This window comes from Homo sapiens, chromosome 8, assembly GCF_000001405.40.
Source record: "Homo sapiens chromosome 8, GRCh38.p14 Primary Assembly".
Taxonomy (NCBI): Eukaryota; Metazoa; Chordata; class Mammalia; order Primates; family Hominidae; genus Homo; species Homo sapiens.
In genome coordinates this window covers 37,551,915-37,575,257 of record NC_000008.11, presented here as the reverse complement: position 1 = coordinate 37,575,257, position 23,343 = coordinate 37,551,915, and the positions used below count along the sequence as shown (strand labels likewise).

Here is a 23,343-nt window from a genome sequence, read left to right as displayed (position 1 = left end):
ATCTTGTGCTGACCGCCTATCTAATTCTGTGACTTGGAATGCCTTAGCCTCCTGGGAATGCAGCCCAGTAGGTCTCAGCCTCATTTTACCCAGCATCTATTCAAGATGGAGGTGCTCTGGTTCAGAAGCCTCTGACAAGAGGGTCAGAAAAAACTACCTATCGTATGCTATGCTTATTACCAGTGGGACAAAATAATCTTACATGAAACCCTCGTGACGTTCAGTTTACCTATATAACAAACCTGTGCATGTATCTCTGGACTTAAAAGTTTACAAAAAAAAAGAAGTGCTTTCCTCACCAACTCTTTGGTTAGCTTGATATATAGCTCATGTAGGAAAGGCAGTATGTTTGGTTCTTTTTATTTATCATTTTTCAACAATTTTATGCTGTTATGCCAATCAAATTTGTCAATCATACCTTAATAAGACTGAAAAAAGTAGAAAAAAAAATCGCTAAGTCCCAGTGAATTGATAGGTCACAGAGTGTCAGAGCCAAGATTTGAACCTAAGCTTTCTGATGGTTTAGCCTGTGGTCTTAACCACTACATCCCATTCCCTCCCAGAAAGAGGAAAATGGTTGTGAGATAATGCTAAGTGAATAAGATAGAATATAAAAATGTATCTCTACAAATCTATGGTCTATTTATAGATGCATAGAAAAAGACGGAAGGAAATACACTCCAAGTTTCACAGTGGTTACCCCTGAAAAGTTTAAAAACAAAAAGTAGCCACAGCACTTGCGTTCACCGGTTTCTGTTCCTCTTAGAGGCTGCTGAGACTCCACAGAAAGTATTGAGTCTTTTTTGCATGATCATGAAGAGCAAGTTTCTTGTTTCTAAAGGTCGCCGTAGTCTTGCTCTTGAATGCTGGTAACTGCCACTGGGGGAGAAGGGATGTGTCCTTCTCTAAGGGGAGAGGGGACGCATCGGCCCCCTCCTCCTTACTTCAAAGTTTTCTATGTACTTCCCATGGGTACAATATGATGTAGTATGGTGGGAAAGAGTGTGTGCACATTTTTGCTTAGTCCTTAGAACAATACCTGGCTCATAGTTAGTGCAAAAGTGTTAGCTATTAACATCTGTAAAATGTAATAATGGTAGATGATTTATTGTGTTGTAATTGAGATGAAATGAGTGCCTCTATGTTAAATACTCACTTTAGACCAGAGCCAGGTCACACACTCCTGGCTGTGTGACCTTGGACAAGTTACTTAACCTCTTTGTGCCTCAGTTTACTCATCTCTGACTTGGGGAGAGTTATAATACTGACCTTTATAGAGTTTTGGAAGGTTAATGCAAGTAAGATACTTAGCACAAGAAGTACTCAACCCATGCTAGTTATTCTTATTCAAGAAAGCCTGGAAGAGTCATTGGCTTCAGATAGTTTTGTAGTTACGTGAATTTAAGTGAGACCCTCTTTCTCCAGGTGCTATGAGGATTGCGGGCAAGCCCAGTCTCTGCCTCCTTGACACATATTTTTCTCCATCCAATTTACCTTGGCACGAAGGATAATTCATGGGTATGTTCACATCCTGGTCCTCAACATAAATCTTCCCTCCCCATGCACTTGGTGACAGCTCCGTAGGTCTCCTAGAGTTTCTTCTCTGAGTTTCTCATTAATGTAGCCTACACAAAGAAAGGCCTTGGGGTGCCTGCATTTCCCTGAAACCATCCTCCTTCCCAGAAAGGCAGGCAGGGGTGAGGGACAGGGGTGGGGCTGAAGAAGAGAGGGCAGTGGGAGAAAGGCCATCCCTAGCACAATGTGACTTTGAGATTCGGGGCTGGGGTCTTTGGCAGCTGCCTGTCATAGAAGCTGGGAGGCACTAGCACTGCTTCCCAGCAGGGCTGGCTGCACACCTGCACCACCCCCTGGAAGTCAGGAGAAGGGAGTCTTTTCTACAGCTATGAGTGAAACTTGTTCTGGCCCTGGGGAGGAGGTGAGTGATTATTTGTGAAGCTTGTTTCTTGGTTTGATTTTCTTCTTGAGCATCACGTTTGCTTCCTTTTTAAAAAACCAAACAAGTGCATGCTGCTCAGCCATTTCCGTCCATTCCCAGCCTTGATAATCTGTCAGACTGGCTCCTGTAAAACACTTCTTTCCTCTTTTTTTTGAGACAGGATCTCTGTCGCCAGGCTGGCGTGCAGTGGCGCTATCTTGGCTCAATGCAACCTCCGCCTCCTGGATTCAAGCGATTCTCGCTCTTTGGCCTACCAAGTAGCTGGGATTACAGGCGCCCACCACCACGTCCAACTAATTTTTGTATTTTTAGTAGAGATGGGGTTTCACCATGTTGGCCAGGCTGGTCTCGAACTCCTGACCCCAGGTGATTCGCCCGCTTCAGCCTCCCAAAGTGCTGGGATTCAGGCATGAGCCACCGAGCCCGGCCCCTAAAATGCCTCTTTCTTTTGGGTCTTGCCAAAGCCCAGATTCTCCATTGGGATCGCCAGAAGTGATGGCACTCATTCTATTTCTGTCACAAATGTTTGGATCAGAAGCCACAGTGAAAAAGAGAAAGCAATCCTCCAGGAAATGTTCTTCATTTCGGGACATCACTTGAGGTGTGTTGGGAATGTCAGGAAAGTTTCCCCATTCATTCATTTCATTCCCTTATTTATTCATGGCTTTGAGAAATACTTAGTGATTCTTTTAAATAATGTTCTTCGAACTTTTAAAATACCAGAACTCCTGTCTATTTAATAAAATCTTAGTGAAACCCAGTAGATGAGGGTCTGAACTGAAATTCAGAGGGAGTCGGTGGGTCACCTGAGGCATCCACGTTAGTGAATGGGGAAATAACTCCTATCCCAACATTCGCATTTCTAACCCTTAGGTCGAATATGCTCCGGCTGTTCGGTGCATTTATAGCGAAGTACAGGCAGTCTGGAACTTACAAATGAGTTCTGTTCCAAAAGTTCATTTGAAAGTCAGTTGCCTGGAACTTGGAATACATTTGCCTGTGGAAATCGGGGTATAGATGGTAGTGAAGTTCCCAGCCCAGCCCAGTAATGCCTATTTGATTCACAATATGTCGGAATTATAGAACTAATAACTCTCTATCAGCTTTGTGTTATTCTTTTTTCTTTTTTTTTTTGAGATGGAGTTTTGCTTTTGTTGCCCAGGCTGGAGTGCAGTGGTGCAGTCTCAGCTCACTGCAACCTTTGCCTCCTGGGTTCAAGCGATTCTCCTGCCTCAGCCTCCCTAGTAGCTGGGACTACTGGCATGCGCCACCACGCCCAGCTAATTTTCATATTTTTAGTAGAGACGGGGTTCCACCATGTTGGTCAGGTTGGTCTCGAACTCCTGACCTCAGGTGGTCCACCTGCCTTGGCCTCCCAAAGTGCTGGGATTACAGGTGTGAGCCAGCGCGTCCAGTGAGCTTTGTGTTATTAATAGTACTGCAGAAACCATGTATTTACTGCCAGTAGAGCAGTAACATATCACCCGTGGGGCACTCAACTATCTACCAATCCCACCCCTGTGGAACACAGTAGGGAACAAGTAAGTGACCAAAATCAGCATTTGCGTATGTAAAATAAATGCCTCCGATTTTCCTTGGTCCCAGCAGAATGTAAACCCAATGAAGGAAGGGATTTTATGTTTATTTTGTTTCCTGCTATATCCCCAGCACCTAGTAGCACATACTGCATACTTGATAAATTACTGTGGAATGAATACATGCACTAAAGGTTCATAGATCTCTCAAGGTGGGGACCCTTGCTTGAATCTAGTTAAGATTATTTAACACACAATCCCAGCATGGTTGGCTATTTAGTTTCCAAGCCCACTGCATTTAGAAACAACAAATTAAAGGCTGATCTAAGCAGATCACACTGACACAATCAGAGGTGACCAACCTTAAGCATGGAGACAGAGAAACTATAAAAAGCTGACACAGGAACTCTGGAAACATTTAGCTCAGTAATCTTGGGAGTCATGATTGTAAAGCAAACATTAATTAATGCTCCATAATTTTTCACCTCTATTTAAAAATGTAGAGAAGTATGTGTGGAAGTTGTAGGAAACTTGAAGAAAAAGCTGTTTCTTTCTTTCTTTTTTTTTTTAAATTATTAGTTTTTAGAGACAGAGTCTCGCTCTGTCGCCAGTCTGGAGTGCAGTGGTGCAATCTCAGCTCACTGCAACCTATGACTTCTGGGTTCAAGCGATTCTCCTGTCTCAGCCTCCCAAGTAGCTGGGATTACAGGCACCTGCCACTACATCCGGCTAATTTTTTGTATTTTTAGTAGAGATGGGGTTTCACTATGTTGCCCAGGCTGGTCTCGAACTCCTAACCTCAGGTGATCCTTCCACCTTGGCCTCCCAAAGTGCTGGGATTACAGGCATGAGTCACCTGGCCGGAATCACCCTTTTTGAAGGCGTAGCTGAGGAGCTAGTGGAAATACTGCCCTGTGAAGATAAACTATTTTCTCCTGGATGCATTATGCACCCTATGTTAATGACTGCTCTGCAGTGTCTCTAACAGGTAGGATATATTGGACCAAAAGCTAAAAGCTGAAAGTAAAAGTGACCCTGCTTACCACCATCCCCTTGGACACATGTGAGGAATTTCTTCTTCTCAATGTCATGTGGGGCTAAAGGTATTGCTTCCTAGATGGGGAGTAACTCAAGAATCCCAGTCAGCTCTAGCTATGACCAATGCCTGGCCACTTCAGGCTCCTTATGCCAAGAGATGAGAAAGCTGGGACAGATGTCACCAATCTGTCAGGTGCAATTGGCCCCAATGATCAGGCGACTAGGGCTGCTGACACATGACAGGGGCCAGGGAAGAATATGATTGTCCCCGGGATGTCTCATGGCATTCCCCCGTCCAATTTTGATAGGAAATGGACAAGTACAGCAGCCATATCCTGAGAAGGGCGCGGTGACCCTGGGCTCAGTCCCCTCAAAGATGTGGGTTTGGGTCACCCCACCAAGTAAGCCACTAGATCAGTAGCGGGGGCTGAGGGGCATTTAGAATAGGTAGTAGAGGAGGGGGATGGTGAGTATTGGTTGTAACAGTTGGGACTGGAGTTTGATTTCTCTAGGAAAGGAGATCCAATGAAATCCTGCAGGAACTGTTCCCAGGTGGCGTGACTTAGACTAAGTGAATGAATCCCAGCAGCACTGTGGACTGTGGACTGTGGACTGCGGTGGCTGCTGTGGTCTATCTTCCATGCAGCTCCCTTCAGCTCCTTCCATAAACTCCTTTGCCTGCAGCTGCAGGTTTATTCTCTGTAGATGATTCATAGCTGTGTTTCCTTTTCCAGAACTTGCCCTCTGCTGAAGGTGCTGCCTCACCATGAGGTTATACTCCTACCTCAGGGATCACAAGGTGGCTCCCTGAACAGCTCCTTGCTGCCATTTTGTGATGACACCATCTTTAACACCTGGCTTCTGAAGTCTCATGGAGAGGTCTCTATCCAGGGAGTACATTGGATACTTTCGCGGTCTCTGTGGACGGGGAGACAGCACACTGGAGACTAACACCATGTTGGCCTGGACATGATGCATGACCCTTACGCCCATGTTCCATTGGTGAGACCCAGTCGTGTGGATCGCACTAGCTGCATGGGCTGGGTTGTGGGTGTGGGTGGTGAAAATTGTAGACTGGGCATCTGCTCCCCAGAAGCAACTCAACATGGTGTTGGGGGAGCATGAATCTTTGGTGGTCAGTAGTTTTTTCTACCACACCATCCTATGCAAAGCTGTGAAGTAACTGAAGTTTGTCTTGACTTCTCTATCCAACCCATCTCCCCGCAGCCTTCCAATTCCCAGGCTCCTGACCTCTTTTTTTTTTTGAAGACGTGCTCTCAGAGAGCTGTTAAATAACTAACCAAGGAATTAGCTGGTAACCAGACAAGCAACGTAATACCTAGCCCTTCCTAGGCATTTGGTTTCTCTCCCTTCCCAATAGAAGCCCTTCCAAAGCTCCATGCCTTCACTAATGCAGTGACCTCTGTCTGGAGCACTGTTCTTTTCTGGCTGTGAAAGGGCGATTCTTCTTACCCTTTAAGATCCAGCTCACATTATTATTATTACGATTATTATTTTGAGACAGAGTCTTGCTCTGTTGCCCAGGCTGGGGTGCAGTAGTGTGATCATAGCTCACTGTAGCCTCAAATTCCTGGACTCAAGCGATCTTCCCGCCTCAACCTCCCAAGTAGCTGGGACCACACAGGTGCATGCCACCACACCCAGCTAATGTTTTAGTTTTTGTAGAGATGGGGTCTCACTATGTTGCTCAGGCTGGTCTCAAACTCCTGACCTCAAAGTATCCTCCTGCCTTGGCCTCCCAAAGTGCTGGGATTACTGGGATTACCATGCCCAGCCCCAGCTCAGATTATTAAAAAGTTAAAAACAAAACAAAACAAAACAAAATAAAAAAAACCCTAAACAGGTGTTGGAGAGGATGTGGAGAAAAGGGAAACTTTATACACTGTTGGTGGGAATGTAAATTAGTACAACCTGGATGAAAAACATTACGGAGATTTCTTAAAGAACTAAAGATAGAACCACCGTTCAACTCAGCAATCCTACTACTGGGTTTCTATCTAAAGGAAAAGAAATCAGTATATCAAAAAGATACCTGCATGCGTATGTTTATCGCAGCAATATTCATGATAGCAAATCATGATAGCAAATCAGCCTGTGGAATCAACCTGAGTGTCCATCGATGGATGACTAGATAAAGGAAATGTGGCATATATACACAATGGAATAGTATTCAGCTATAAAAAAGAATGAATTCAGGTCTTTTGCAGCAAAATGGGTGGGATTGGAGAACACTACATAAAACAACTCAGACACAGAAAGACAAATACCTCATGTTTTCACTTATATGTGGGAGTTAAACAATGGGTCCATATGGAAGCAGGGTGGGGAGTGATGGAACAGTGAGGTCGGGGAGTGAGAAGGGTGGAATAATAATAATAATAAAGACTGGATCAGAATTCAACCCCTCAGTATTAATGACCCTTTGTACACCTTTGAGTTATAGCATTTATCACACTGTTGTATAAACAACTGTTGACTGGAAGCCTGTTTTTCCAGGGGCAAACATAGTGCTTAATTCACAAGGAGGTAAATGCCCACAAGAGCAGTTCCATGGGGTCGGGGATTCTTTTTTCACTCTTCTATCCCTGGGGCCTAGGACAGTGCTTGGACTTGCTCATTATTCGTTAAGTGAACAATCTGTTTCTGCCCCAGCACAGTGCCTGGCATGCAGTAGGCACTCAGTTATTGAAGGACAGCATTTGCAAGGTCAGAAGTGTTTGCTAATCCTTGCTAGCAGTGGAGTTTCAGATACTTTACTTGAAGGATCGTTTTTTTCTTTAAAGATAATTTTGATTCTGGAAAGTCCCTCTAGGTCTTGCTCAAATTATTCTACCTGGATGCACACGTATGTGACACACACACACACTCTCCTTTATTCTCCAGCCCTCCTAAATCCTTTTGAAGACAGAGGCCCAAGGAAATGAGTTCTTGTAAAACCATTTCCTTATTTCTCAGCCCGGTGAAGATAAACCCTGTTGGGTTGAGCTGCCAGATTCTGTGCCCCATCACTCCCACCCTGGCCCGGGGCCCCCACCCCCAGGGCTGGCTCATCCTCAGGCCAAGCTGTTCCCACAAAGACACCGAGCCTGAGACTTAAATTGGATTTGCCTGTGGCTTTGCGCTCTTCATGTCCTCCCGCCTTCGTTTTTGATTTATCGTTTTAATCAGTCCTAGTCAATCATTCCCTCTCTGTCTTGCTCACCATAAACACAACCCCTTGCCAAAAAAATTATGAATGTATTAAATGATTTTATTACAGTAAACTGCAGATTGTACCATTGTAAACACAGGTGCCGTTCCAACCCCACACCCTCCAACTCTGTCCAGACCTGCAGGGGTGCCTTGGAGGGAGGGAGGCCCTGGGGCCTGAGAAAGGGACCATCTCTGGGAGTCTGAGAAGCAGGAGGTCATTTGGTTCAACGCTTCACCACAGATGGAAGAAACTGGGGTTCCGGTTGGTGAAGCCACTGGTCTCAGGTCACATAGACACTTTATTGCAGAACCAGGGTCAGATTTGGGGTCATCTGATATTTAAGACTCCTTCCCTGACACCCTTCTGTTATCCTCTGTCTTTCTCCTCTTCATTTTAGGCACATTTCACTCTAGGACAAATGCCAGTGGAGGGAGTGGGAGAATTTGAAAACTGTAATTGGCCCGAGGCTGTATACACACCGTGGGCCTTAATCTTTTTGTCCCGCAGGTGGGGTAAATGTCTTCCTGCCTCGCATCCTGGGACGGGGTGGTGGGGACTTCCCCTTCTCTAGGCTGACAGCCTCAGGCGTTGTTTTGGGGACAGGAATGGGGAAGTCCCTGGGAAGCAGGAAGGCTTTTCCTGGGATCAGGCCTTGTGGAAGCTGCACAGACCAGAGCCTGCTGCTCGGTGAGGAGGGGCGCTTTATTCTGGGATGGCTTGGCAGCTCTTGAAGGCTTGGGAACCTGTTTCCAGAGTGGCTAGCCCAGTCGCTGATGCAGCCATGGAGTCTGGTTTCTTTTGGTGCAAGAAATGCTTTGAGGGTAATTTCACTAGTGGAGCTAATGTAAAAATTTTCTGTTATTGACCATGAGAAATATTTTCTAAACAAGTGATTGATCACGTGAAGAGAGACTCAGAGAAGTGGACTCCTAAGATAGAACTATTTGGGATAACCTATGGATGATGTCTCTTCCCCAGTGGGAATTTTCTTGGCCGAAGTTATCCAGCCCTCTGGGAATCAGTACATGAGTGACACGTGTGCACACATATGCATATGTAATACATGGTTAATATGTATACATGTCTAGTCTTCACATCTGTTTTTGCTGGTTCCTGTTTGTTTCTTGGTTTTGACACATCTGGGCCTCCATAGTAAACAGTTCCAATATTTACCAAGCAGCTCCAAAGGTTACATTTGTTTCCCAAAGTTTTTATTCCTCCTTCTTTTGGGTAAGTTTCAGCTCAGAAGAGAAGCTGTTTTTTTGCTGAGCCTGAGCTGCATGAGCGAGGCAGGAACACAGACCCATCTGTTGGAGATTGGAACATAAATAGCCCCTTTTAAAAATAAATCTCCGCTTTTAACTCCGTAGATAAAAATATCTGAATAAAGGACAATTCTTAATCTCTACCTTCTCCCCTGCTTGACTCAAACGTTTCTAAGTGGAGATTTTTTCCCCCTTCTCCTTTTACAGGTTTCATTTTGGCTTTGATTCTAGCGAGTTTACTGACAGATTACTTCATTTTAACTATATGGCTTTTCTGTCTAGTGGGAGGCATATTTCTAAGTATCATATTTATCAAAAGAGCTCTGCAAAACAAGGGCCAGAATTACTCTTTTGATGGTTCCCCCTCTAACTACAACCACAATAAATTTTGTGAGAAAGAATGTTCAACTGGGGACCTTTTATGTTAAAGCCGAGAGCCTGGGTTCAGACATTGTCACTTTCAAACCTCCACCACTTGGGTTGTTTTTTCCCCCTCTTCTCCCCTCCCCGGGCAGAAATCTCACATCTGGTCTCACTTGTGAGGCTGGTCCTTCCCTCCCAGGGGCGCCATATTTTTCCCTCTATAACTTTAAATCAGAGGAGCATTTCAGTAAATCACAGGGAACACTTATTTATTGGACATAGTTTTGGGTCTCTTAAAGCATGGAAAATAAGTTTAATGGAGCGTTCGGAGCATTTCTCCAATCTTTTGAGGGATTACTTGGAGAATTTGTCAACTGCGCCAAGCCCAGCAGCAAGATCCAGAGAGACGGGAAGGAAATGATGGGAGAATCTTCTCGGAGGACCCAGGTGGATCCTAAATCACCCCCAGAAAGATGAATATGAGAGGACCAGTTGCCAGCAAGATTGATAGGCAGCATCGCCATTTATTTAAGAAACTATCATTTCAGCGGGAGGATGACTTTAATCTGAATTATATTTTGCTTTTGTCGTCTACTCTTGCCAAGTGATTTATAGAACACCGTAGCATGCTTCTTAACCTCAAACAATGGTGGAGGGAGGTGAAAAGGGGGGCTGGAGGAAGGAAAGAAAAGAGGGAAGGGAGCCTCTCTAGGGGACTGAAAACCTTGAGGAGAATGTAAGAGCAGGGCAGAGAGAAATTAATGGTGGTGGCCTGGTTGCGTGGGCAAACTTTATTTGCGATGCCCTTCGGTGGGAAATGAGGGTGGATGGGCTGGTCTTTCTTCCTCAAGGGAAGTAAATGAGAAGAAGCGCCTCGGCCTTTAGGAACCCGAGGGCTTCGTGCTCAGGGTGGCAGGGACGCTTCTTTAGAGGAGGAAGATGGAAGGTCAGGCTGCTGACGTAACTCCCAGGAGGACGTGCTTCTCATTCAGGCTGGAGCTGCTAGAAGAACAAAGGGCTGTTAATGAACGCAGACAGGCTTTGTTTTTGGAAGCAGAGGAACGATGACATTACTATGGTCATTGTGAGTTTTAGCTGCAACAGCTGCCACACCTGGTCCCTGAAACGATGGGTCTGAAGGGTCTGACTTGTCCTCATCTCAGTCTTGGTTAAGAAGGAAGAGGGCAGACGTTCTTGTTTTTAGGCTAAAATGGGTAAAGTGAGGTACAAGGTAAAAAAAAGCAACAGCTGATGGAGATGTTCAAGCCACAGGAGTGTGCAGTAGGAGGCCAGGGACACAGCGGGGTCCTCTTTCTGGCTTTCGTGCCCTCAGGGTCCCCGTGCGCTGGAGGAATTTGGCCCCAGATGTCCATTCACTGTGTCTCTGCTGTCCTGCAGAAAGGGGTTCCTCTCTGATGTCCTAGTCTGCCAATGTGAGCTCCTACTGACCCCAAAGCAGCCTCCTCCTCCCTGGCCCTTTCACTCTTTGCTCTTCCAGCTTGGACAAACCAGTCCTTGCCTGGGGCGTCCTGGAGAGCCAGGGAGGAGGGCCTGGGGTTGGGGAGCTCACAGAAACATGGAGGTGGTGGCTGCAGGAATGAGAAAAGGGTGGACTGTGGGTGTGCGGCCGGATGACCTGAATGTGTTGGGCTAGGTGAACCCCGTGGCAGTGCTACTCAATCCAGACTCACAGAATAGTGCGCAGTGGGACCTCCGTGTGCCCCCAGCCTCCGGGGCTGTCAATTTAGATGGGTTGGTAGGTGTGGCTGTGGAGGAAATGGTCTGGAGCTTACAGAATTACAGGACCAGGGTTTCATTGGTCAGCAAGCCCTGAAACCCTGACCATCAACTATCTTCTTTCTGGCTTTGCATGCATGTTCCTCCTGACTGCTGAAGATCCTCCAGGGTCTGGCTTCATCCAAATTTTCAGCCTTGGTTTTTTCCTCTCCTCCCTCTCTCTCGACTCCAGCCCCTCACTGTCCCGCAGGCACACTAGACTTCAGTCTGCCTTCTTCCTTCTGCTTTTGTGGCACCTGTCTTTCTGTCCATCTATTCAGTGCTATATATGCTTCAAGATGGAGACCAAATTTTATGTTCTCCTAGAGTGTGTCTGGACCAATTAGCATTCTCTGACCAGCTTGCAGACCCCACCACACTCTTTTTTTTTTCTTTTGAGACAGGGTTTCCCTCTGTAGCCCACGATGGAGTGCAGTGGCATGATCATGGCTCACTGTAGCCTCGACTTCCTGGGCTCAGGCCATCCTCCAACCCTCAGCCTCCCAAGTAGCTGGGACTACAGGTACACGCTATCACACCTGGCTAATTTTTTAAAAAATATTTTTTTATAGAGACACAGTCTCCTTATGTTTCCCAGGCTGGTCTCAATCTTCTGGGCTCAAGTGATCCTCCTGCCTTGGCCTCCATAGGTGCTGGGATTACAGGTGTGAGCCACCGCGCCAGTTGCCCCACTGTACTCTTCAGCATGAAACGCAACACTGTTTCCTATTGCCCCTCTTGATCCACTCCTCGGTTCCCTGAACTGTCCCATATCCTTACTGCTAAACACGGGGTTTAGATGGCTGATCTCCAAGGTTCTTAGCAGTTGTAATGATATAGGGTTCTCTGCTTTGTCTCCTCATCTGGACTGTAAACTCCTTAAGAGCAGGGAGGGTATCTTTTCCTTGCACCAAATCCCTCAATATTCTAGCCCTGAGTGGGTATTCCACAGAACGTTTGTGGATTGAGTCTATTTGAGTCCTTTTTGCCACTGGAAGTGGAAGGAGTGGGGAGCAGTGGCTTAGATGCTTTGGACGCCTGGTCTCGTAATCTAGCCTGCAGAGACTTTGATATGCAGTTGGTGGATGGGGTAAAAATCACCATGCAACTCTCAGTGTGTTCTGCCCCAGGGAATCTACACTGAGAACTCTACCCAGCACAGGGAGAGGAGAGGACTCACTCACTGGGCAGGCAGCTCCCTGCAACATTCCATTTTGTAGCCTGGTAGAAAAAGCACTCACTTTGGTTCAGACCTTGGTTTGTCCACTTCCTGCCCATGAGACTTGAGCTGGGTCACTTGATCTGAGTCTTGTTTGCTCACTTCTAAAATGGCAATTCCAAAACCAGTATTGCCCCACAGAAGAGTTGTGTGGGAAGAGCAAGATGACATGACATGGAACATGTTCTGTGCATTGTGAAGACAACAGCGGCCGAGGAGGTATGAAGTGCCGTTACAACATCTCAACATGAGAAGTAAAAACGTAAAACACAAAAAGAGAAGACCAATGGCCCCTCTCTCCCCTCTCTCACTATTGGACAAAGAACCATCTGCCTCGCCTTTGGATAATATGCTGTGGAGCCTCCCCTCTCCTCCAGTAAAAAAAAAGAAAAGAAAAGAAAAGAAAAGAAAGTCAAGTGAGAGGGAACATCCTGGTATATTCTGAAAGTTGACTCTGGGAGGAGAGGAAAACATGAGCAAACAAAAGCTGTCATTCACTGGCAAGCTGCTTCCTCTGGGGATTAATCTCTGTGAAGAAAAATTAAAGATCTCAGCATTGCCCTGAGCAGGCACACAGGCCACGGCTATGCTAGTAGAATGGCAGCCTCTGGGACGGGGCCTTCCTGCCCCTTCTTGGGGTTTTGCCAGCTCTGAGGGGGCCATGCTGTTGGGTAAGAGTCTGTCCGCTGCCCCCTGAGTGGGCACTGTCTCCCTGGCCTTCAATGTCCCAGCAGTTTTTGTGCCTGGCAGTGTCAGAGTTTGTGCCCTGGGCCGAGAGTAGAATCTTAACTGCCCTGAGCCGTCTCACACACTCACGCCTCTCTCCTTATCCTGTTCCAACTTCCTCTCTCTTCCCACATCCATCTGCCTTGCCATGTCAACTTTCACCCCATGACTCAGAAGTTAGAGGGCCCCTCGAAGCTGGCAACTGGGGCTCTAGCCTTCCAGAAACCTGTTTGTGTGCAAACAAAGGACTCTCCCCTCCACACACACACGCCATCGCGACTTTCCAAGATGACGATTGAGTTTTTCCCCTGTTCTGCTTGATATTTCTGCCAAAGTAAGAAAAATCCTCGTTGAAGTCTAGCAGGAAATCCAATAAAAATTCTTCAAAAGATGGGCTTGACATTGAAAAACAGCAAAATTATAAAATAGGCCTTAGAAAAGAGAAAGGAGAGTTATTATATCTGGCACCAAGCAAAAGCCCCGAGACCCCGTCCAAATGAGCCATCACAGATTGAAAGTGTTTAGCTTCCCGTTGATTAAATATGGAGGAGGACCCAGGGCTTGCCAAGCCTTGGGGATCCAAAGTTTGTTTTCAGTCGGAATGTGTTTTCAGTCAATGGAAAAAATGGTCGGCCCGCGCTGGGCTATGTAACCGAGAAGCCTCAGGTTTAGCGTGAGTAATGGCTGTGAAGCAGAAAACCATGAGAGCTGTTAATCATCCCTCCCAGGCCCCTGTAATTTAACTCAGCGACTCCTTCGGCTTGGAAAGCTCCCCCCACCCTCTTTCTCCTCCCCCTCCCCGGGTTCATTTTGCTCCAGGGGGAGTAGATGAGTGCTTCTGCTTAGGGTCTCTATATTTCAGTTCTTTAAGTTCCTCACCCCCAGACCCTCTCCCCATCAAGGCCCCATTGTCCCTGCTCTGAACATCCTGGGATGTGGAGACGGGAGAGTAGAGAGGCAGTTGCATCTCTGGAGTTCTTTCAGGGAAAAAAATCTCTTTGTCCTATGAGCTTCCTGGAATCGAGGCCTGAAAAAATCTCTTCCCCCACCATTGCCTTTCCAGGGGAAGGTGTTTTTCAGAGATGTTTATGGACATTCTTTAATGGGGTTATCTCATTCTAGCCTTGCAACGTTCTTTTATCCTCGGCTTTCATCTGTCCCTCCTCATTCTCTTACCATGAAGAGTATACAAAGTCTGGTTTCTCTTGTCATTAAAGTCCCCATGAGCGAGGCCTAAGAGAGAGAGAGAGAGAGGAGAAGGAGGAGGAGGGAAGAGAAAAAGAGAATGTGGGGCTTGTGGGGCTGGGCTGGAACTCAGAGGTAGGTCAACGGGGAGAAGAGGAGAGTAGAAAGAGACAAAGAGGCTGGGAGGAGACAGAGGAAGAAAGAGAGGTATATCTGGAGGGAGAGAGAGATTAGCGAGAGAGTGGTGGAGAGAGAATGCATGGCCATGGGGCTGGAACTCTGCGGTAGGCCAACCCTTCTTTCCTCTCAAATGCAAACACGATTCTACATTCCTGCTTGCCCCAGCCACCTACCCGCTCTTCTCAAGCGACGTTTTACCCACTGTAAGTGGCCTCATGGGAATGAGAGTGCCGGTGTGTTTCTGATTCTCTCTTCTGTACTCCCCGCATCGCATTTACCAGGTGCCTTCAGTGGCTCTAATGGTTTCATCAGCTTCAGAGCTCTCTCTCCAGATAACTGCTATTCATGGGTCACATTTCACGGACATCTGTTTTAAGATCGCAGGGGCAGGCCCAGTGGAGCGTGCTTTTGGAGTCTGTTCGTTTCAAAATGGCGGCCGCCCTCATCCTCAGCGGAACTTCCAAGTTCGGAGGGCTCCATCCCTTTCAGTTGGGTACCAACATTTGGTTCCAAGAAGTCACATCAAGCAAATATTTCTTGAGGACTAGGCAAATAAACGGAAGAAATGAGTAAAGAAGTGGCTTTAAAATTACGACATATGAAATGCTCAGTGGTTTAGTGGAAATAGTTTTTTTTTTTTTTTTTGGTAAAAAGAGCAAGTCAAGTCTTGGGCAGCTTGGCTATAAGGGCCAAGAGCCCCATCAGCAGATACCTGGAATGGCCAGTGAGGCTGAGAAATGAAAAAGAGACAGCTCCACGGCGCTGGCTTGTCCCAGACAGTCAGTGAAGAGAAGCTCTGGGCAGGGAGAAAGTTAAATAAAAAGCTGTTGGTAACATGCTCTGTGTGTGTGTGTGTGTGTGTGTGTGTGTGTGTGTGCATGCAAAAGGAAGACGCTTGGCATGCCCCTCTTCTAGGGAAAGGAAGATCAAGGGGGTTAGTATAAGAAGAAGAAGAAGGACAGAATGGAGTCAAAGTGAGTCCTCACAGACAACTCCCTGCCTTTCCATGATTACAACAACCTCCTCCTCTCCTCCATCTCCATCCCTCTGCATTCGCTTCCTCCTCCATCTTCTCCCCCTCCTCCTTTTCCTTCTCCTCCATCTCCTCCCCCTCCTCCTTTTCCTCCTCCTCCTTCTTTTCCTCTTGCATCTCCTCCCTCTCCTCTTTTTCCTCCTCCTCCTCTTCCTCCTCCATCTCCTCCTTCTTTTCCCCCTCCCCCTCCTTCTTTTCCTCCTCCTCCTTCTCTTACTCCTTCTCCTTCCCCTTCTCTTCCTCCTCCATCTCTTCTTTTTCTTCCATCTCCTCCTCCTCTTCCTCCTCCATCTCCTCTTCTTCTTCCTCCATCTCCTCTTCTTCTTCCTCCATCTCCTCTTCTCTTTCCTCCATCTCCTCCTCCTCTTCCTCCTCTATCTCTTATTCTTCTTCCTCCCTCTCCCCCTCCTCTTCCTCCTCCATCTCCTCTTCTTTTTCCTCAATCTCCTCCTCCTCTTCCTCCTCCCTTTCCTCCTCCTCCCTCTTCTCTTCCTCCTCCTCCTCCACCTCAGCCTCCTCCTGTTCACTATGGCTAAAATCATTTATTGATTACAATGTGTCCTCCTTGTGGCCAAAGCTTTATGTATTATCTAATTTAAACCTTTCAGTAATTCTCTGGGCTATACCTTATGTCTCTTCTTCACAATAAGGAATCCGAGGTTCAGAGATGGGAGAAGCACAGAGTTGGTAAGTGTGCCCAAAAGTCGGGATTGGAACCCAGATCTGTCTAGCCTCATGCCCTGAACCACATAAAGGCAGGCTGGTGAGTAGACTGCTGTAGGCAGTGATCCCAGGACCCAGACCTTTGGAGACACCCCAGTAGGGCACACATCAAAGATCCCACTTCACACGTGGAAGAAAACCAACAGCCCCATAGGGTGGGGGTCTGCATTTCAAACAACCCTGGAGGCTGTGGACTGAGCACCTCATGGGCAGCAGTGGGACTGGGTTGGAGGGGTCAGTGGTGGGTCACTGTCATCATCAATCAACCACAGCCTTTTGTCTGTGGGGTGTGGGGAGCGGAAAGGGGCGGGGCTGGGCACCAAGCAGAGCAGGTGGAGCAACAGAATTTATGTAAGGGGCTCTTTTGGGGGTAGGAGATGGCAAGGGACATTCAGAATTTTAAGGGGAATCTTCATGGCTTGGGAAATCCCCTGATGGGAGACTGTGCTGTCCTGAAGTCCTACAGCTGTGCTGATGGGTGGCATTCCAATCCCAAGCTAGTTCATCCCAGTGTTGAGCCACCCCTAGCACTAGGGTTCTTATAGAACTGTCCATCCAGTTTTGAATGCCTCCTTCACTTGCATCACCACAGTCCTAGAAGGTAGCAAGAAGTACATTATTATTTTTATATCTATGTATATATTTTAGAGACAGGGGCCTGTTCTGTCCCCCCAGGCTGGAGTGCAGTGCTGCAATCAGAGCTCATTTTGCTTCAGATTCCTGAGCTCAGGTGATCCTCCCACCTTAGTCTCCCAAGTAGCTGGAACTACAGGTGCATGCTAGCATGCCTGGCTAATTAAAACATCTTTTTTTTTTTTTTTTTTTTTTGTGAGATGAGGTTTCACTATGTTGCTCAGGCTGGTCTGGTCTTGAACTCCTGGGCTCAAGCAATCTTCCTGCCTTGACCTCCCAAAGTGCTGCGGTTACAGGTGTGAGCCACTAAGCCTGGCCTGAAATACATTTTTATACTGGAACTCAGAGAAACTTATAGTCCAGTTGGGAAATAGATATGCATGAAACGTAACACATGCACACACGCACACACACGCACATTACATGCCAGGCACTGTTTTAGGTGATTGCATGTATTTACAGAGATCATCCTAACAGTGACAGGCTGAACTAAGAACTCCCGTTACGCCCTTTTCATAAGAAGAAACGGAGGCACCAGGGAATCAGTAGCTCGCCCAAGGCTGTGTGGCTAGTGAGTGGTGGGGCCAGGATTCAACCCCAGGCTGCCAGGCGCTGTGTGCAGCTCCTAACCAACGCAACCCACTGCCCGTGGGCTGTGTAGAGAAGGCGGGAAGTGGGGTGCATTTAAGATTGGGCTGAAGAGCTGAAGTGAGCAAGCAGGACTCAGAGACAGGGCCTGCGGGAGATCAGGGAGAAGGGCGGGGAGGCAGCTAGGGAGGAAGCTTTGAGGCAAGGGGAGGGCATGGGGTGATCTGTGCAGGGCCTTCCCGAGCAGAGGCCCCGGACCAGACTGAGCCTGGGACTTGCTGGGGACAGCAAGTGAGTCAGATTAGAGAGGGAGGTGGTCCCGGGGGCAGTTAGAGAGCAGGCCAGTGGCAGGCCAGTGGGTGGGTAGTCTTGGATGCCAGGCAAATAATTTGATGTGCACCTTCTGAGGAGGTGGCTTCCGGGGGGATTGTGAGCCTAGAGCAGGCCAGGCATAAAGAACAAAGTCCTAGGAGGCCTGGATTCCAGGCCTGGCTCTGCCCTGAGGCGTCTCACTCCTGGCCACCCAGCTCATGATTCCAGCTATCTCATTTTTAAAATAAAGGGCTTAAGCTGGGTAATCTCCCATGGCTATAAAGTTCTTTGGTAGGAACAGAAGAGTTTTAAAGGGATTGGGGGGGGTGAAAGAATCTTGAGGTCAGAGAAGGTAGAACCGTAGGGATTTTGGAGACCTTCTGTTCACTCTGTTTTGCAAGTGGGGAAACTGAAGCACAGAAAGGCTGAGTGATTTTCCCAAGCCACACAGCTCATGATTGGCAGAGCTCCTGAGCCTTTAGGTCTACTATTCCTGCCAGTGCTTGCTCCCCTGCAGGGAGAAGCTGTGGGGACCTTTGATGGAGGTGGGATGGAAGAGGCAGGGCAGTGAGGCACGCCTGGAGGTGCCATGGCTTTGTCCCTGGCCCTTCACCAGCACCAGCTGGGAAATCGTCTCCACGTGGACCCAGGTCCACAGTGGCAGCTCAGAGCCACTGATCTCGGGGCTGCAGTCTGCCACAGCAAGCCCCTGCCTCTAGGGGGATGCTCTTAAATGCTCATCTGCAAAATCACCAGGGCAGCCCCCGCTTAGGGCTGTGAGCTGAGGCCATTACGTCCTGAGAGTCATCTGCAGGGGAAATCGAAGTCTGAGGTGGGACCCAAGTCAGTGGCCAGTGTGGGGTGATCCTGGGGGCCTGGGCTCCCCTTTTGGCTTGCTGGGCCCAGAGCCCTGTCCTCACAACTCCTGTGGCCCATGAGAAGGGGCAGGTATTGTGTCCTGAGCTCCAGGGCTGGCTGGAGCTGGTCAGGGTGACTGCTGGCCCGAGCTCTGACACGTGAGCAAACCACCCCCCCAGGTTCTTCCTAGTGCCCGTGTCAAAGGCGTCTGGTAAAAGTTAACAGGTCTGCCCGTCTCCAGGAGATCAGAGGAACAACTGGAGCTTACTGGGGGTCAGGGAGAGGTCACCGAAACTTGTTTGATGGGGCAGTCTCTGGAGCTGACCCTGGTCCAGGGGCCTGTCTCACTCCCTGGTTTGATCCAAGACCCAGGACTCTTTCCAGGGTGGGCGGCCCGAGCCCCTGTCTGTCTGAAGGCCACTTACACGGTGGCCATTGTCTTCCCAGCTCCGGGTCCAAGTGTGGGTGTGGAGGGGAAGGGGTGTGGCAGGGAGGGAGCAGGATGGCTCTGCTGATGAGATGCTGGATGGAATCTGGGCCCTGACCTGGCCTGGCCAGGTGTGACCCTAGTCCCTGACCCCTGGTGGCCCAGAGGGTGAGAAGGTGAGGGCTGGGGGCTGGGAGAAGGCTGTTGGCTAACATTTAGCAGGACCTTTGAAGATGTAAATTCTTCCCCAGCTCCTGCTGGGATTGATGGGGTCAGAGTTCACAGGCATGGTTGCCTCATTCTCCAAGTGGGCTGGAAATCTCGCAGACAGATGGGTTAGGGTCTCCTGTGACCGGACCTTCCCCAGAGGTGAAGGGCTCACAGGAAATGCTATTTCTGCTCTCCTGAATCAGGCCCAGTGACTTGGAGGCCTCAGGAGGGGCCGATGGAAGTTGTTTTTTCCCAAATGCTCACATTTCTCCTGGGTATGTATCTTGGGTGTGTTTGTGTTTGGCCCCATTAAGATCAACCACTGGACCATTTGGGAGAGAATCTCTACCTCCTGCCCCTGCCTGACTTGTACTTTTTACTCTCCAAATACTAGATTGCTTGAGGCTTCCTGTTCCCCTGTGCTCTGTCCTGGTTCCTGCCTATTTCCTCTGCAGTAGCCCCGCCCATCTTCTCAGCTTAGATAACTCCTGCTCACCTTTCTGCATTGCCTCCTCCAGGAAGCCTTCTTGGAATGGCTCTGTTCTCCTGTGGCATTCAACAGTTCATTCAGTAAACTAGTATTATTTACTATGTACCTGGCCCTGTTCTATTTGGAATGTATCCGTGCATAAAACACACCAAAATCCTTCCCTCAGGGCACTTACATCCTAGAGTGTAATAACAGCTTTATATGTATTAACAAACAATCTGTAGAACATCCCTACAAAGGAGGCCAATTATTTTATAATTATTTTTTGAGACAAGGTCTCACTCTGTCACCCAGGCTGGAGTGCAGAGGTACAGTCATGGCTCACTGCAGCCTCGACCTCCTGGGCTCAAGGGATCCTCCCACCTCAGCCTCCCAGGTAGCTGGGACTACAGCTGTGCCCCACCACATACAGCTAACAGGTCAGTTATTATCCACATTTCCCATAGGAGGTTACACAGCTGATAAGGGTCATGTTAAATTAACTTAAATCAAATTAAATTAGTCAATGGAATTATTTAATTTAATTTAATGTAATCCTGACAACAGCCTGATGAGATAGATGTTATTTTCCTCATTTTACAGATGAGGAACCCAAGACTGAGAGGGGTTAGGTAACTGATCCCCGGTCACCTAGTCAAGAAGGAGCAGCACCATGGGGATGACTCTAAGCTGGTACAGGCCCCTATGGCCCCCATAAGAATGTCACTCTGTGTTGCCAAAGCATTTTCTGTCTCTAAAGATCTGCTTATCTTCTCCATTATCCTGGGAGTGCCTCCAAGGCAGTGATCTTGATTTATTTATCTGTATCCTTTGAACTCCCATTGTGTTGGGCGCTTAACTGGCGTCTGACAAATACTTGTCTGTGGATTGATGGACAGCTGAATTTCGGCAAAGATGAGAATAAAGCAGCTAATATTTATTGCACGTACTCTGTGCTGGGCTGTGCTTTGGTCCTGGCTAGACATGACCTCTTTTAGTCCTTACAATAGATGAATTAGCCGTCGAGAGGCTGGCTGGTAGTGTGGGCTAAAGATGGGGTTTGAATCACAGGTTTCTCACTCCAAAAATCCATATCCTATGGATGTTTCTGTGCCACAGGAAGCCAATCAATGGAAAGGTGGCCACTCTGGAAGGCATCCGACCCTAAGTCTCTTGGGCTTTGCTGTTTTGGTCCCCATCCGGCCAGACAGGAGTGGAGGGGGTAGGCCCTTCATGCTGGGAGTGGCATTTACAATAGAGTGAAAGCCATCTGGGGAAGTTGGGGGTTGGGTCTCAAGATTATCCCCACCCGTTCAGATGTGGGAAGGAGTTAAAGGGCGGCGATTGGGCACATTAAATTTTTACTGATTGTTGCTGAATCGGTAACAGTCTGTTCCAGGGAAACAGCTGGATTCAGACTGAACTGGCAGACACTGCACGTGTTCTACAGAGAAGAAAGAGGATGATGGTAAAGCAGACTGCAGTCTTCAGGCCTGGAGCAGAGAAGGGAGAGTTCCTGCTCTAGGTATGTTTAGTGCCTTTGTTCTGGCATCTGTTTTTTTCCCCGCCTTTTTCAATTAGGAAGGAAGAACAAAGTAGAGTCTTCTGACTCATCTACCCATGGGGCTTAGGAGACTGAGGGCCACCGTGTGTGTGTTGCGGGAGGCGGGGGAATGCGTGACAGGGACCTATGGTTGTAAGGCACAGCAGAGCACCGGAGCCCATGTCCTGGGCCTCCCAGGCTGTCACCCTGTCATTGGGGCACATTGACTTCTGGTGCCCTCCAGCCTCCCGCAACAGACAGCCACGTCAAGTCCCCCTACGCCCCTTTGGTTAATCCCCTATTTTGCTTGACTAAGAGTCAAAAGGCAAGAGGACGGCACCCAAATGAACTAAGCTCACTTAAATCACTGGCAGGGTAATTTGATAGATGAGTTGGCCAGCACCCACTTCGGGAATTAAGCAAAGCCTGCGCCATGGAGACAGTGGGAAATAACCTTGAGTGACTGTGGTGAAAAGGCGGCCTCATTTCACCCGGGGGGACAGCCCCAGCCCCAGCTCCGCAACTCAGATTGGAAGACAGTGTGCAGTGTCTGCTGGGATGACGGGTGACATTTCTCTCCCAGTGGTCTCTCCCTCCAAAGCAGGACAAAGGTCTCAGCAGTGGGGCCTTGGGCAGAACCAACAGCCCCCTCGGTTGCTGCTTAGACTCACCTGGGGTTAGGGTAGCTAACTGCTGAGGAGGGGGCAACTGGAACCCTGCCTCAGGGTTCCCTCCCACCAGCCCACCCAGGTAAGGGCTCCAGCAGATGCTCTTGTTTGTTGAGCTCACTCATCTGTTGATGGAACACAGAGGAAACAAGGGTCTTTCAACAGACCGGAGTCATGTTATAAAATGGGTGTTTTATGGGCCACATGCAGAAACTGACCACTTGCAGAAGGCCACCTTACTCTGCAGAGGGGCCAGTTGTGAGGGAGAAACTTCTAGGTCCTTTCATCGAGATGAGGATTGTTAGCTCTGACTTCAGATAAGCAGAATAAACAAGCCTCAGCCCAAGTGGGAACTGGTTCTGCCCCCTTTCTTTGCTTTTCTAAGCCATCAAAGCCAAGTTCCTAAAGCCGGACTGTCTCACGGTGCTTTCTGATGGTTTCATTGTTTTGTTTATTGTGCTTATGGCAAGTGCTAACAGACCGCTTTCAAAGTGTGTTGATATTTCGGTTGTTTTTGAATGGCCCTTCTGTTTTTCTGCATCTGGACAGCATTAGAGTCTAGCCCCAGGGAAGAACTGGGTTCCTATAAAAGTGTACCAGGTCCTCTTCTGCAGCAAACGCTGGCCATGACAAGATCAGACACCCCATTTGGGCAGGAACACACACCAAAAATTAGAGCGGAATCATGAGGCCACCTTCAGCAGCCAGGGAAGACAGGCCTGGGCTGGGAAGGGCCCACTGAGTGTTGCCAAGTGAACTGTGGGTGTTCTCTTTCGGTCCATGGACATGCTGTGGTCTTCCCGCAAGAAGAACTCTACCAAGCCGAGGGTAGGGTGATGCCATGAGATGTTCGTTGTCCATAGCTTCATAGATTACCCCCTCCCCCAACCTCTCTGTCTTTTTTTTTTCTTTTTTTTTTTTTTCTAGAGGTCTCACTCTGTCGCCCAGCAACGTAGCTCACTGTAGCCTCAGACTGCTGGGCTCAAACAGTCCTCCTGCTTCAGCCTCCTGAGTAGCTGGGGCTACAGGCACGTGCCACCACGCCCAGTTAATTTATTTATTTATTCTCTTTAGTTTTAATAGAGATGAGGTCTCACTCTGTTGCCCAGGCTGGTCTTGAACTCCTGGGCTCAAGTGATCCTCCCACCTGGGCCTCTCAAAGTGCTGGGATTATAGGCGTGAGCCATTGTGCCCAGCCTCTCTCTCTGTCTTCTAAATTTCTGGTTACCTGGTCAACCACTAGCATAGTTTTCAAATAAGAGGTTCTTGAGGATTGGACAAGGAGCAAGAGCTGGAAAAGGGAGAATGGCCTAGTGTCCAGGAGAAGACTGGAAGAGGCAGCGCAGCCCCAGGGCCCCCACACTGCAGCTCCTGACCTGCTCCAGGCAGAAGCTCTTTTGGGGGATCTTTTGCAACATTGC

The 23,343-nt window shown here is 48.2% G+C and overlaps 2 long non-coding RNA genes across 5 annotated transcripts in view, besides 4 other annotated features; one reads left to right on the top strand and one right to left on the bottom strand.

The window, feature by feature from the left end:
• LINC01605 (long intergenic non-protein coding RNA 1605) overlaps positions 1-23,343 on the top strand; it is a 196,324-nt gene that overhangs the window by 24,582 nt on the left and 148,399 nt on the right. For 2 of the 3 annotated variants that reach the window (NR_170188.1, NR_170187.1), the window contains exon 2: positions 21,101-21,236. The exons of the other annotated variant lie outside the window; for it this stretch is intronic. This is a non-coding gene — a long non-coding RNA (long intergenic non-protein coding RNA 1605). The remainder of the gene's footprint in view (positions 1-21,100; positions 21,237-23,343) is intronic. 3 annotated transcript variants of the gene reach the window in all.
• Positions 483-532: an enhancer, noted in NCBI's record as "active region_27226". NCBI's record gives its function as "activates an Ori minimal core promoter by ATAC-STARR-seq in GM12878 lymphoblastoid cells {active_cell/tissue: GM12878}" and the evidence as "EXISTENCE:reporter gene assay evidence [ECO:0000049][PMID:35858748]".
• On the bottom strand, positions 9,865-15,229 carry LOC105379379 (uncharacterized). 2 transcript variants are annotated; one of them, NR_188158.1, is made up of 4 exons: positions 15,171-15,229; positions 14,632-15,002; positions 10,486-10,577; positions 9,865-10,374 (listed from the first exon to the last, which is right to left on the bottom strand). It is a non-coding gene; the product is annotated as an uncharacterized LOC105379379 (long non-coding RNA). The 2 variants fall into 2 exon arrangements; NR_188159.1 differs by lacking the exon at positions 10,486-10,577.
• Positions 14,226-14,725: an enhancer, noted in NCBI's record as "H3K27ac hESC enhancer chr8:37418051-37418550 (GRCh37/hg19 assembly coordinates)". NCBI's record gives its function as "activates a minimal SCP1, AML or CMV promoter by ChIP-STARR-seq in primed H9 embryonic stem cells {active_cell/tissue: H9 hESC(primed)}" and the evidence as "EXISTENCE:reporter gene assay evidence [ECO:0000049][PMID:30033119]".
• Positions 14,726-15,227: an enhancer, noted in NCBI's record as "H3K27ac hESC enhancer chr8:37417549-37418050 (GRCh37/hg19 assembly coordinates)". NCBI's record gives its function as "activates a minimal SCP1, AML or CMV promoter by ChIP-STARR-seq in primed H9 embryonic stem cells {active_cell/tissue: H9 hESC(primed)}" and the evidence as "EXISTENCE:reporter gene assay evidence [ECO:0000049][PMID:30033119]".
• Positions 18,856-19,456: an enhancer, noted in NCBI's record as "H3K4me1 hESC enhancer chr8:37413320-37413920 (GRCh37/hg19 assembly coordinates)". NCBI's record gives its function as "activates a minimal SCP1, AML or CMV promoter by ChIP-STARR-seq in naive H9 embryonic stem cells {active_cell/tissue: H9 hESC(naive)}" and the evidence as "EXISTENCE:reporter gene assay evidence [ECO:0000049][PMID:30033119]".